The 15,431-nt window shown below is 43.5% G+C and overlaps 1 protein-coding gene across 25 annotated transcripts in view; it reads right to left on the bottom strand.

The window, feature by feature from the left end:
• Positions 1 to 15,431, bottom strand: part of FGF1 (fibroblast growth factor 1) — a 105,893-nt gene that overhangs the window by 34,252 nt on the left and 56,210 nt on the right. The window lies entirely within an intron of this gene.

A 15,431-nucleotide genomic window follows, 5' to 3' on the forward strand; every position in this document is an offset into this window, starting at 1 on the left:
AACGTGTTGGAGCTGAGATCTGAAGGTAGGGTTTGCTGACTCCAGAGTCCACTATTTTCATTGCTGAATAAATGTGGATAAGAGAATAAAATGCCCCTTGAACTGAGTGACCCTTGAGCTTCTCTATTCTTTTTACTCTACCAGCCCCCGGAACGTGTACAGCCCATTCGTTCATGTTCTAAAGGAGATATCTGTTTTTATTGAATGGAACTTTGCAAGTTCCTCCCCTGATGGCCTGTCCTCTTCACCGGGGTGCAGCGTCCCACCATCAGCACTTTCCTGATTGTCACTCCTGTGCCTCCTTTAGGTGACCCTGCAGCCTGTGAGACCATCTTGGCCCTTGTCAGGGCAGCCATTTGCCATTGCAGATGAAGGGTGGGGGAGAGGCCAGAGACTCCTTCAGACTGTGTTGGAAATGTCATGAAAATGGAAATTCTCACAACCTGAGAGTCATAGACCTGGATTTGGGTTTCTGCTGTGTCATTAAGTTCTTGCAAACCAGGCAAGTCATGTAACCTTTCTGGTCCCCAGTTGTCTTCTCTGTAAAATGAAGCTGTTAAGAGCTCTGATCTCATCACGTTGCCATGAGAAAGGAATAGGACAAGGTCCAGGAGGGAGCTTGCATATAATGAGTGCTAGGAAATGTCAGCTATCATTATCCTTGTTAATATGAACCTGTGTTTAGTGGGTTGATTTTCTGAACTTTGATAGCAGTTGGGGTTTCACGGAGCATTTGGGATGAATAAACAAGCATCTCTGGATAGCTGTTGTGTAGACACTATATGAGGTACTTCATAATCATTTTGTATTTGCTGTTCCTCTATCATATGGGCTAGATGAACACCTCTCCTTCTTCTCCAGCCAAGAGAAGTGTGATGCAGAGAGAATGGACAGCTTACCAAAGCAAATCTGTGGCTTAGTCAATAATAAAACCCTCAGTCCCGAAATACCAGTTTATAATGTCATCCCCATTTCCAAGGGGCCCAGCCTCCCTCAAAACATTAAAAAATAAAAAGGACAAAACTCACATTTCTACTAGACAGACAATATCCCGGCATCTCTGGAAGAACAGTTAGCAATCCCAGCATGCGGGTTTGTGTATTAAGGTGCTTGGATATGAAGAAGGAATGTCAACCCTGTGGAGCTCATTTCATATGTCAGACTCCATTCTGGATCTTGAAAGGGGGCCATGGAGGCCCCAGCATGCCCCAAGCACCACGCAGGAAGCAGGCAGGGGAGCAGGGCCCAGGATATGCAAAGCGACCCAGTTGGTATCACAGCCAAAGGGCAGGAAGAAAACAGTCACTTGCCCCAGTGCTAGCCTTCAAGGGCCAAGTTTTTGCAGAGCCTACACTAGGACAATGTAAAACTTGTTTCTTTTTGCATTTTTTCTTTTTAAGGATGTGGTCTATTTCTAGAGGTTCCATGTACTTGCCAGCTCCCTTTGATCCCACATAAACAGTCCAAAAGGAACCATTCTCCCATTTGCACTGTTTGCTCCCTGTTTCAGCACCACCGATGGCTCTCATGGTCCTGTGACCACATCATTAGTATTCTACACCTGGCTCCACTCACAACCCAGCTGTTGGCAGGCAAAGGAGTCCTCCTTTATGGGAAGGAGATGATGCAAGAGAACATCACCAAAGGCCCCAGGACATGACTGGTGTCTGATAAGGGAGGAAAAGGCTTGGAGGTGAGTTAAAATCTTGAATCCAAGAAGCTATACTAAGAGATAAGTCTGCCTTGGTATCTAGCATCTTCAGGAAGGTGCACATTGCAGTCAAGATGTCATTTATCAGGGCTGGGCGTGGTGGCTCACACCTGTAATCCCAGCATGTTGAGAGGCCGAGGCAGGCAGATCACGAGGTTGGGAGTTTGAGACCAGCCTGACCAACATGATGAAACCCCGTCTCTACTAAAAATACAAAAAATTAGCCGGGCGTGATGGCACATGCCTGTAATCCCAGCTACTCAGGAGGTTGAGGTAAGAGAATCACTTGAACCCAGGAGGCAGAGGTTGCAGTGAGCCGAGATCGCACCATTGTACTCCAGCCTGGGTGAAAGAGCAAGACTCCGTCTCAAAATCATGAGGCTAGAGATAGTTGCCAATAACTATGTCAGTAAACTCATCCGTCAAACATGGCCTCTCAAGGGAGTTTTCTTTAACTTTGGCAGGTAGCTCAAAACATGGTTTGCTTTTATCCCTTCAACTCCTCATGGTTTTTCTCCTTGTTTCTTTTTTTCTAACTGACCTTTCAAAGCCATTTATATCCTTCATGTCCACTGCCCCCTGTCATGTTTAGAGATTAAAGAATCACTATGTTGGGCGGGGTTGTTTGAAAAATGGAGAATTTTGAATTTATTGGCCTTTGAAAGCAGATTAGGCAACAAGAGGTAAGGAGGAACGTCAGAGTGACTTCTTGCTTCTCGGAGCTGCCATCTTTTCGCACATAATTCCTCTTCACATTCAAGATCCTGCATTCCTTGGCTCCTTCTTGGCATTGTCAGGTTCAGTGGGCTCTTATGAAGTTTGATAAATCTAGATGTTTAGATAGGCCCCTGGGGTGGGGAAGACAGAAGGCAGAACTTTTCCTAGTGTTTCACGATATTGTACTCTTGAACCCTCAGTGGTGAGAGCAACTTTTCTACAGATCTGTTCCAACCTTTCCAGTTACTAGATTGTAAAATTTTATACAATGTAGGAAGTTTGATAGGCTTGATTTGCAAAAATTATTTTTCTGTGTGTAACAGGTTCTTGCTCTGTTCCCCAGGCTTTAGTGCAGTGGCACGAATACAGCTCACTGTAGCCTCAAACTCCTGGGCTCAATCGATCCTCTTGCCTCAGCCTCCTGAGTAGCTCAGACTACAGGCACGCACCACCACGACCAGCTAATTTAAAAATATATATATTTTTAGTAGAGACAAGGTCTCGCTATGTTGCCCCGGCTGGTCTTCAACTCCTGGGCTTAAGCAGTCCTTCCACCCTGGCCTTCCAAATTTCAGGGATTATAGGCATGAGCCACTGCGCTGGGCTGCAAAAATTTTCATTAACACATAACATTTCCAGGCAGAGCATTTGCCTCCAAATCTAATTGCGTTAGGCCCAGCCTATCTAAGGAAGCCCTCCTGACTTCCTTGTCCTCTATCTCAGACTGAAACATGTTTCTTTCATGACAATTATGATAATTTAGGATTGTGTTTACTTTTTTGTTTACTTGTTATTGTCTGTCTCACTCCACACAACTGTATATGCACACTAATGTAAACCTCGTAGGGGCCCATTTCAAATTTGTTTTGCTCACATTATCACTGTTACTCATCCTGTCTTTATTATTATTATTTAATATTTTGCTATATTTAATATTTTGTTAATCACAGATATTTTTGCATTAAATTGGATTTTTGAAAAATACTGCATTAAAATATGATATTATATATACATATATATTATATATATATATATATATTTTTTTTTTTTCTTTGAGATAGAGTCTCGCTCTGTTGGCCAGGCTGGAGTGCAGTGGCATGATCTCGGCTCACTGTAAGCCCCGCCTGCCGGGTTCAAGTGATTCTCCTGCCTCAGCTTTCTGAGTAGCTGAGATTACAGGCGTCCGCCACCACTCCCAGCTAATTTTTGTATTTTTAGTAGAGACGGGGTCTCACCATGTTAGCCAGGATGGTCTCGATCTCCTGATCTCGTGATCTGCCCACCTCGGCCTCCCAAAGTGCTGGGATTACAGGCGTGAGCCACCATGCCTGGCTTAAAATATGATTTATCTTGAGTGCTTGAGTACATTTTTACCCAAAGCAAGTGCCTCCCACACCTCACCCTAGTCCCAGCTGTGTTAGCTGGCTGACTTCTCTGAGGTCTGCTAATCGAGCCCTTGGACTGCCATGAGGGGTTATCACGTTAAGTACTTATTACCAACCCCACTGTCCACAGCAGGTCCAATTCACGAGCAGCTCCTATCTTACCTTCTGAAATAGCCCCATCTTTTGCTCTTGGCCCCCTCCCATCACTTTTACACATAGAGCCAGAGAGATCTTTTAAAGTTTATATCAGATTGGCTACTCCCTAGCTTAAAACCTGTCATGGCTTTCCATTTCCATAAAGTAAAATCCAAACCCTTACCATGGCCTATGAGACCCTGTATGGTCTGGCCTCACCTACGGCTCCTCCCTCCCTTTGCCCCTCTATTCCAGCCACTGCATGTACCCTTGGGTCCTTGAGCCCACTATGATCTCCTCCATATGGCTGCCTTCCTACAAATTGGTCCCTCTGCAGCAGTGCCCTTCCCTAACAGTTTCCCATGGGCTGCCTCCCATGCCCCTTTCAGAGGGCAGCTAAAGTACCACCACCTCAGAGGTCTTCCCTGGTCTCCCCAGCTAAGGTAAGTTCCTTCTCTACCTCCATGATTCTCTTTTGCAGCCTCTTGTTCTCTTTCTTCCAACATTCACCATCATCTGTAATTAATTATATATCCATCCATGCGTTTTCTTGTTTGACATCTTTTTCCCACGCTGGACTGTAAGCTGCTGGAGGACAGAAGCCATGTTTATTCAACACCTTCTGCGCAGCCCTCAAACGATGGCCAGCACAGAGGAATTGCTCAGATATTTATTGAGTAAATGAGGGAGGGAGGGAACAAATGAACAGATAAATTTCAGCTTGTAGAATCTTGACCTAAGGACTCTGCTACGCACTAAGGGACTTCAGTGTCCCATTCTGCTCTTTGTTGTGATGAACTTTGCTCTTCTAAAGCAAGTGTTTTTCCCCTAGATTATTTTTATAGAAAAAAGTGAAGCAAATATAGAGATAATTATTGATTCTTGCTCATCAAGTCCCTGTTCCCTATCACCAACATCCTCCTGAGAGCCTGCTGCAGAATTCCTGGGAACCACAGGAAATACGTCCACTAACCACTTGAAAAACACTTATAAAAATAGACCGGACTTGACCTTCTTCCTGTGGAAGGGCCTTTTTCCTCAGGGCAAACATTGCAAAGAAATTTTGTCTCTTCTTAGGAACCTCTCTTTCCAATCACTTTCCCAGCAGGATTTATCTGGACGTTCTCAGAATCCTGTTCTGAAATTATTTCCCCACTGGCTGGGTCATCACTTGAGCAAATTGCTTATTTATTATTTCCATGCTATTGTTTTTATATTAAAGTGATAAGATAGAAATCAAGACCTGGGGGAACTATTGGGATATTTCACAGTAGGGGTAGCTTTATCCTCACCAGGGGTTAACACCCGTTGCCTCAGACTTCAATACAGGTGCACTGCCTTCCTTACTTTGATCATTATCCTCTCAACTCATTCCTTACTTTTAAATTTTATTTAAATTAGCTTTTTTTTTTTTTTTTTTTTTTGAGACGGAGTCTTGCTGTGTTGCCCAGGCTGGAGTGCAGTGGCGCAATCTCGGCTCACTGCAAGCTCCGCCTCCTGGGTTCAAGCGATTCTCCTGCCTCAGCCTCCCCATTAGCTGGGACTACAGGCGTGTGCCACCATGCCCAGCTAATTTTCTTGTATTTTTAGTAGAGATGGAGTTTCGCCATGTTGGCTGGTCTTGAACTCCTGACCTCAGGTGATCCACCCGCCTTGGCCTCCCAAAGTGCTGTGATTACAAGCACGAGCCACCACGCCCGGCCTAATTTTCTTATTTAAAGCAAGCTTTATCTCCCTGGTGTAACTGCAAAAATTTCCTATAAATAGAAGGCAGTGATAAAGATCAATACAATGAAGCACAGCAATGGCATTGACTTCTGCTTAGATGCTGCCTCCTGTCTGCTGGGCTCTTTTGGTTATAAAGAGAGAAGAGCAGTTCTTCTAGGGAAGTTGAAAACATAATTGTCCCAAGCCAAGGTTTTCTCCTTGAGTAACCAAAATGACTAAGGAGACTTAAAGATGGGGGCTTCTTTTCTCTCTGCAGTGTTGTTCAAAGATACTTCTCAGTACCACTCAGAATTTCTCTTATCAACAGGGGCACATGTACCATACTTTTGGGAAACAAAGAAATAATATTTAAGGTCTGTTGCTTTGGTGTTTTATCAATTCAACAAAGCAGGGGACATCAGTCCACTTACAAACCCTTAACCATAAGGGGATGATATAAAAATTAGAAAATACAGATAAACAATAAAAAGTTTTAAGAGATTGTCCATGATCATATCTGCCAGAGATGCCTTCTGTTAACTTTTCTGTTCATAGAGATGTAAGCATCTTACAAAGCAGAATCATATATAGTGAACTGTTTTATAACCTGCTCTTTTATGATCTGACTTTACTCAATACATTAGGAATTTCCCCCTCATTAATAAACAGAAACCTACACCTTCATTTGTAATGGTTGCATACAGATGGTTCATTTGTAATGGTTGCACCTTCACTTGTAATGGTTGTAATGGTTGTAATGGTTGCACAGGAGTCCACAATAGGAACATGCAAAACTGTGTCAACTAACCTTTTATTGTTGGACATTTAGGTTGTTTACTTTTTTTTTTTTTTTTTAGACGGAGTCTTGCTGTGTCGCCAGGCTGGAGTACAGTGGCACAATCTCGGCTCACTGCAACCTCCACCTCCCAAATTCAAGTAATTCTCCTGCCTCAGCCTCCTGAGTAGCTGGGACCACAGGCGCCCGCCACCACACCCGGCTAATTTTTTTGATTTTTAGTAGAGACGGGGTTTCACCATCTTGGCCAAGAAGGTCTCAATCTCTTGACCTCGTGATCCACCTGCTTCGGCCTCCCAAAGTACTGGGATAGGTTGTTTACTCTTTATCACTATTATAAGCAAAACTGCTGTAGTCATCTTTGCCAACTATCCCATTACTTCCTTGGGAAGAATTTATGGAAATGGAATTACTGGGGGAAAGCACATGCATTTTATTAAGGCTTTTACTCAGACATTTCCGAATGTGTGTACCTTTTACAGGCTTGAGTTCCATTTTTATTCCTTGACTTCTCTCTACTTCCTTTCTGATGTATATGTCTGCTCTTTAAGGTAGAAGAGAAATTAATGTGAAAGTTTTAGATCTGCTGACTTTGGTGTCAAAATCTCCTTGTAAAAAAGAGGCTTGCTTCCTTTGCCTAAACTTCCTCTGAAGACATACAGTAGCATTCATGGAATTTCCCTGCACCCATTTTTGTGCACGTGCCCTACCTGAGGGATGCTCTTCCAGCAGTGTGGGCCTGTGACTCTTGCCGGAGTCCAGTGTGCCCCAGGCTCACGGGGAGCAGAATGCCCACTGCAGCATTGGCTGAAAGCAGCTTTGGACTTGCCTTTTGCCTTTGACTCTTTGGGGCCCAATTTACTGCTTTGCTATACCACCATTAGAGGTGTCTCAGCTCCGACCTCTGTTCGAAGCTCATCCCCTGACTTCTGACCTCTCCTCCACTCCTGGCATCTGTTCAAAGCTCAGCTCCTCCATGAATCTCCAGGCACTAATGACTCTGTTGAATCAAGACCTCCCTCGGCTGGGCGTGGTGGCTCACGCCTGTAATCCACGTACTTTGGGAGGCCGAGACGGGCGGATCACGAGGTCAGGAGATCGAGATCATCCTGGCTAACACGGTGAAACCCTGTCTCTACTAAAAATACCAAAAAAAAAAAAAAGTAGCTGGACGTGGTGGCGGGCGCCTGTAGTCCCAGCTACTCGGGAGGCTGAGGCAGGAGAATGGCGTGAATCCGGGAGGCGGAGCTTGCAGTGAGCCGAGATCGTGCCACTGCACTCCAGCCTGGGTGACAGAGCGAGACTCCATCTCAAGAAAAAAAAAAAAAAAAAACTCCCTCTAGTGAAATCACCTCTCTAAAGTTTTATGTGTGCTCCTTTTATCCACTGTGACCACATCTCCCACTTATTAAATGCAGGGCTTTTGTGCCTGGCACAGAGCATAGTGTATTGAAGTAATACTTGCTGAAATAAGAATCCAGCCAGTCTCCCAGATTGAAGTGAGGCTTGGCACAGCCAAGTTAAAAATGGCAGACGGTTGTGAATTCTTGCTCACTTAGCATTCCAAACGGTATCCTTGTATTTAAAATAAGAGACAGCCTAGATTCAGGGTAAGAACCATGGCTGGAATTCAGACCCCTTGCCACTAAGCAGATGTGTGACTATAGGCCAGTTGCTAGCCGCTCTGAGTCTGGTTCCTCATCTGAATAGTACTTACTCATAGAGTTGCAAAGATCAAATTTGATAATAACGTGTAGAGGGAATAGTCCAGTACGCAGCATATGATAAGCTTACCACAAATAGTATTATTAATGTCTTTCATCCTTTGGGAGTTCACAAAATAATGAAGCCTCCCTCCTCAGTTTGGACTGCAGAGCTCCTGGCTCCTACACTTTTGTGGATAATGGTACTGTTTGACTTTCTCTAAAAATCTGCTGACTGTGCCTTTCCATGGAGAAGAGAAAATAGTTGCTTTGGTTATTGCTTTTTTTTTCTTTTTTTTTTTTCCACGACTCCTTGTAACAAAGTAACAAACAGTCAGGCTGAGTAATTAGCCAGAACAGGATAAGTCTCACCAGATGTCCCCAGGTCGATTGCTCGTTGTTGCACAAAGCTGTATAATTTGGAGTACTTCTTTTGATTTTCTTGTACCTTTTCCACTTAATTTAAGTATCGGAAAGGCAGGGGCTGAATGTCTTAAGGGAGACTTACACTATAATGGTTGATACTAGACTCCAGAGTCCGGGAGACCTGGCTCCCCCTGTGGCTCTGCACTAACTTGCTGGGTGACTTTGGGTAAGTCACTCCACTCCCTTGTGCCTCAATTTTCTTCAGTTTTCTTGTCCACAGAATGGGGATGATAACAGTACCTCGTAGGGTGTTGGGGAGGATTAAATGAGATAATGCATGTAAAACACCTGGCACATACTAAGGTCTCAGTAAATGTGAGTTACCGTCATCTTCATCTTGCTCAAATCCACCGCCATCATCACCTTTCTATTGTACCTGGCACAGGCCCTTCCCTATGGGAGCAGCTCAGTCAGTGTCGACTTAAGTGAATAAAATGAATAGAATATGCCCCCCCGCCCCTTCCACAGAAGGTGAAATCAACAATCTTCATTTTTCTGCATGTCCGAAGTCAAGCTTATGGTGCTTTATTTTAAATGAGGTTTGCAGCGCCTGACGCTGGAATTCCCAGTTACAGACCTGAGCTTCTTACCCAAGCTGCATCTTGTGTTACAAGGCACAGGACATACCATGGCACTCCCACCCTGAGCTTTCTTCCCCAAAGTAGGGCCCACCTGCCTGGGAATCACATAGGTTCCCCCAACAAAGGGTTCTGACTTGCTGGGCTGAGTCGGGGCTGGCACCCACATGTTCAACAAGATTCCACAGAGGATTCTGATGTGAGACTCCCTAGTCTGGGTGATATTTTTTCTACATCAAGATAGAAGAAAGCAGTGCAGCCTAGAAAGGAAGGGAAGGCTTGATTATTTTTCTCTTTTTAGCAAAGCCACTGAAATATGTCCAAATCTACTCTTGTTTTATTTAAAAGCGGTGGCCCTGGGGACACTGCCCATTTTGATATGTTTATTTTTTTCTATTTCTTTCCATTACTTGTATTTCCTTTATTGAATTACTGTTTGTTGCTGCTGGTGGGAAGAAAATAAAACAGAGGGTGAGGCAACATAAGTGAAGACTCCCCCTCCTTCTTGCTCTGTTTTGCTGTGTGAGGCTGGAGCCGGATTTTCTGCTTCTGCAGTGAGACGGGAGGCACGGGCCACTAGCAGGTACACCAATGCATCTGCACCTTATCTGATTTGCTCCACAGTTCTGCTTTGCTGACCATGATGGTGCCTGGTGGAAAGGCCCAGCTTTCTCTGAACTGAGCCAGAAACCGGATCTCAAAAACTGGGACCTAATCACAACACACAAGCCCATAATATGATGACATCAGGCCTTTAGGGTGAGGAAGGGAGGTGGCTCAGGATTACCATGAGGTCCTGTTACATTTCAGTTTGTCTCTGCCTCTTATTTTATTTGGTAAAATTGTTCCCAGCTGTTTAACAATCGGAGGACTCATTCATTCACTTGTCACATATTCAGTGAGTACCTACTATGTGCCAGACATAAGGAATATTGTGAATAACAAGGCAGGCACAGAGAGGCTCTCTTGAAGTTTGAATTCTGGTGGGGAAGACCTTTCCCCATGCAAGCGATTTTGAATGAACTGAGTATTATAGTGGCAAAGTCCAGGTTGCCCTGAGAGCCAGGTAATAAGCAATCTATAGGACCTGGGAGACTTCGGAAGACTTCTTAGAGGAAGGGGTATTTCTATTACTAGTGAGTAGAGAGAGGGAGGTTGCAGGTAAATGTGCAGAGGTCATGAGTCCAGAAAGAGCAAGTTTTACTTGGGGGAACTGAACAGAGTCCATTATGGATGAGGGGAGAAGGCTGTGGCTGGGGAAGCTGGCAGGGCCAGGCTACACAGGGTCCTGTAGGCACCTGTCTGAAGAACTGTGGGAAACTATGGAATACTCAGGCTGGGATGTGATGTTATCAGATTTGCATTTTTAAAATGTCATTCTGGCTGCTGAGTGACTAATTGGAGGAAAGGCAAGGAAATCAGCTGCAATTGCCCAAGTAAGAGGTCTTGGGACCTCAGATCAAGTGGTATATGTGGGTATGGGCTAAATGCTGTGTCCACTGCTCACAGCTTTCCAGCCAGGACACCTTGAGTATGTCAGCCCAGCGGCCCTCTCTGGGAGAGACAGTGGCATTTAGCCAGCGCACGGTACTGGCAGATGAACTAAACTCGAATTTTAAAATCCCAACACCAAAGATACAAGGAATATAATTTCCAAACAAGATGTGCTGCTTTGAGAATGTGGAGGTCATTGACCTCCAGAGGCAGATTTGGAAGTGAAGAACCACGGCGTTTTTGTTTTTTTTTTTTTGAGACAGAGTCTTGCTCTGTCGCCCAGGCTGGAGTGCAGTGGCTCGATCTCAGCTCACTGCAAGCTCCGCCTCCTGGATTCACACCATTCTCCTGCCTCAGCCTCCCGAGTAGCTGGGACTACAGGTGCCTGCCACCACACTCAGCTAATTTTTTTGTATTTTTGTAGAGACAGGGTTTCACCATGTTAGCCACGATGGTCTCAATCTCCTGACTTCGTGATCTGCCTGCCTCGGCCTCCCAGAGTGCTGGGATTACAGGTGTGAGCCACCATGCCCAGCCACCATGGCATCTTAATAGTTGACAAACAGTGCTGGGAGCCAGAGCTCCCTCATTGCCTGCCATGCAGCCTGGGCATCCAGGACTGTCGTCCCTGCTCTTCTGCACCCTGCCTTGGACTCACCAGATGACTGGACACATTGTCTCTCCCTTGGTGTGAGTATGATCTCAAGAACCCAATTGACAAGTCATGCTACTGTAGTTTATAACATCTACAAAACAGTGCCATTTGTGAGGGAGGTTTAAGGGCAGGACAGAGCCTGGAGGGGAAAGGGTGGACCAGCTGGCTCTCAAGTTGCCTTCTGGTCTTATGACTCTGTGGGGCTTGGTGATGCTAGAGGAGAAAGCTGAGACCATCTGTGGGGGCTTCATTCACCTACTCAGCAAATGGTCATTAAGAATCTACTATGTTCTGGCTGCATCCTCAGACAGCGAACAAAGCATGGCAGTGAACAAAGCCGGCAGAGCTTTCATTCCAGTCATTTCCTGAGGACAGCTGGTGACCCACTCTGCCCCCAAGCTCTCCTGGTCTTTGTACTGAGTAAAGACAGATGGCCTGAGAGTTCCCCAGCTTTGAACCATCAGTGGCCTCAAACAAGAGTGAACTCCTTTTAGTTCTCACATGTGCCATGCTTACTCTCACCTTGAGCCTTTGAACTTGCTTTTCCGTTGGCATGGACCTCTCTTTGCCAACAATGCCACCACCTCCACCTGCTACGACCCCCAGGATATTCCTTCTTCTCCCTCAGACTTCACCCCGGAGGCCTCGCACTAGTTATTTGAGTGTTTCCTCTGACTTTGCTCCATAGGGCAGAACCCCTATCTTGCTCAGCTTTTTATCCCATGTCTAGCATAAGCCTGGCACATAATATGTGCTTAATAAATATGTGTTGACTCACACAAAGTACAAAGATCAACTCAAAATGAATTGAAGTCTCACATGTAAGACCAGAGTTTGTAAATCTGCTAGAAGAAAACATAGGGGAAAGCTTCTTGATGCAGGTCTGGGTAATCATTTTTTGGATATGATTCCAAAAGCACAGACAACAAAAGCAAAAATAGTTCAATGGAATTGCATCAAACTAAAACGTTTCTGGGCAGCAAAGAAAACAGAGTGAAGAGAAAACCTATGCAATGGGAGAAAATATTTGCAAACACATCTGATAAGGTGTTAATATCCAGAATATATAAGGAACCCAAACAACTCAACAGTAAGAAAGCAATCCCATTAAAAATGGGTAAATGACCTGAACAGATAATTCTCAAAAGAAGACATACAAATGGCCAGCAGGTACAGGTAAAAATGCTCAACATTGCTAATCATTAGGGAAACACAAATTAAAACCACAATGAGATACCACCTCATGCATGTTAGAATAGCTAATATCAAAAAGACAAAAGATAACAAGTATTGGTGAGGATGTGGAGAAAGGGAAACCCTAATACACTATTGTGGAAATAAAAATTGGTACAGCCATTATGGAAAACAGTATAGAGGTTCCTCAAAAAAATAAAAATAGCACTACCACATGATCCAGCAATCCTACTATTGGGTATATATTCAAAGGAATTGCAATCAGTATCTCAAATAGATATCTGCACTCCTGTGTGCATTGCTACATTATTCACAATAGCCAAGATATGGAATCAACCTAAGTGTCCATTTACAGATGAAATGGACACTTCATTTCATCTGTATCACACATGAAATCTGTAACACATTTCTTCTAAAGAAAATGTGGTATATACAGACAATGGAATACTATTAATCCATAAAAAGAGGAAAATCCTGTCATTTATGACAACATGGATGAACCTAGAGGACATTATGCTAAGTGAAATAAACCAGACACAGAAAGACAAATACCACATGATCTCACTTATATGTGGAATCTAAAAAAAGTCAAACTCATTGAAGTAGAGAGTAGAATGGTGGTTGCCAGGAGCTGGGGAGAGGTGACTGGAAATGAGATGTTGGTTAAAGGGTACAAGGTTTCAGTTAGACGAAATGAATAGGTTCTAGAGATCTATCGTACAGCATGGTGACTATAGTCAGTAATGTGTGGTATACTTGAAGATTGCCAAGAGGGTAGATCTGACATGTTTTCACCACACACACACAAAACGATAATGTTGCGAGGTGATGGATATGTTAACCAGCTTGATCATAGTAATCATTTCACAATGGACACATAGATCAAAACATCACATCATATTCCCTAAATATGTGCAACTTTTATTTGTCAATAATACCTTAATAAAGCTGGAAAAAAATAGTTGTTGAGAGAAAGGATGGTGGGAGGGATAAATGATGATCTGTCCCATCCAGTGTTGCATATCAGTTTACCTGAAAAGATGCATGCTGGCTCAAGTCTCTTCACAAACCAAAGTCTGTTAAACTCTGCTAATTTGTCAGTTGCCATACTGAACCCAAGTATGAGTATTTTTGATTAAGTCACTTTGGAATGAATCATATGTATTTTCTAAAACCCTGGACCCCTCTTCACAAAAACAAACCAGAGAGAGGAAGAAACTCGAGAAGAAGAGACTGAATTAGACTATTATTCATTAATTCGTTCAACAAATATGTATTAAATACTGTGATTTATCAGGCACTGGGAACACAGGGGTAAACAAGAAAAGCAAAGACCCTGCTTTCCTTGTCAATTTTTATTCCTATAGGGGGAGGTATTAAATTTTTAAAAGTGAACAGCTAAGAAAATCTAAAATGGTGCTAATTCCCGTATCTCCTGGTAGAAAGGAGCCCACGGGGGCTGGAAGGGGAGAGTGCACCAGGAGGTGGAGTATGGTGGGGGGGGGGGTCTCTCTGAGAAGCGGCATTGGAGCTGAGGCCTTTGCCAGGTGGGGTCAGGGTTGTGCACAGAGCCACATGCACCTAAGCCTGTCTTGTGGGCTTGTGATGCGCATGAGCAGGGAGATGGCCTGTCTCAGAGAAGAAACAGCAGGATGCGGTACCTTCTTCCAGCTGTTATCCAAGAATAGGCAAGAGACTCGAAATAATCCACCAATTGAGGGGTAGGGCACAAGAGTTAATACAATCTTTTTAAAGTCAAATGCTTCTCAGAGAACCAATGCTGCCTCCATCTGAACCTGTCCTCATCCCCACCAAACCAAAAGTCATTTCCTCCTGTGACATCCTGTGCATATTGGCTGTGGCTGTTTGTGGCAGTCACTGTATCCTACCCTGCAATTAGAGCTATTTGCATCCTCCGTTTGGCCTCCCTTGGGAATCTTCAACTCCTCGAAGGCAGGGATTGGATCTTGTGCACTCCCTTCCCCCACAGACATAGACTCTCTCCATATACTTAGTAGATGCTCGGTGAATATCTGTTGGTGTTTATTCAGTTGAATACTAGGATTTCTGGATAACACTTTGGAGACATACATATTACAAAAGGAGAAGAGTTTTGATTGCAGGGAAGGGAAAGATAATTTGGGCGTATAGAGATCCCACACTTAGGTGGTTCTTCTAATGGAGAATGTTGAATGCTTTGAGACTTTCCAGTGGAGATTGGCCAGGATAACAAAAGAAGTTGTGAGGGCCACAAAAAGAAGATCGGGCAATGAGGACTAACTGCCTATTTTGCTGTTTTGGTCTTAGTGGTTAAAAAGCCATTGAGAATTATTTTGCGTGCTTCCTCCAACTCTTGGTCCTTGTTTGATCTGAGATTTCTGCTGTCTGGTTAGCTGGTTGATTTAGGGTTCACTTAGGGTTTCTTTTCTTCTTGTGTTTGTCATTTCCTTTTTCTGTGGGGGTTAATTTTCTATATATTCAGAATGTTTTTGTCTTGAATAATCTAAATATATACAGCTAGAATGTATTTTTTATTTAATTAGTATTTTTGAAGTATTTTCACTTTAAGCTGAAATTCATTTTAAATGGAACTTGACATCAATAATGAAAATGAAAAACCAGTATCACTTGCCACAGATGGTCATTGTAAAGGTAAATTTGTTGTAAAAACATATTGTAATGAATTGAATCTAATTTATTTGTACTATATTATTGAGTACTTTGTTATCTCATGATTTATTATAGCAGCACCACCGTATAAACAGTGTTATTTCCATTTTTACAGATGATAAAACTGAGATCTTGAGAAATTAACTCCCAGGGCTAAGAGGTATTTTAGGCATCCGAATAATTATTCAATTTCGGTTTACAAATGGAATACGTAAAGAGAATCTTATGATTCCATTTTTACAGATGATAAAACTGAGATC

This window comes from Homo sapiens, chromosome 5 (genome assembly GCF_000001405.40).
Source record: "Homo sapiens chromosome 5, GRCh38.p14 Primary Assembly".
Lineage (NCBI taxonomy): Eukaryota > Metazoa > Chordata > Mammalia > Primates > Hominidae > Homo > Homo sapiens.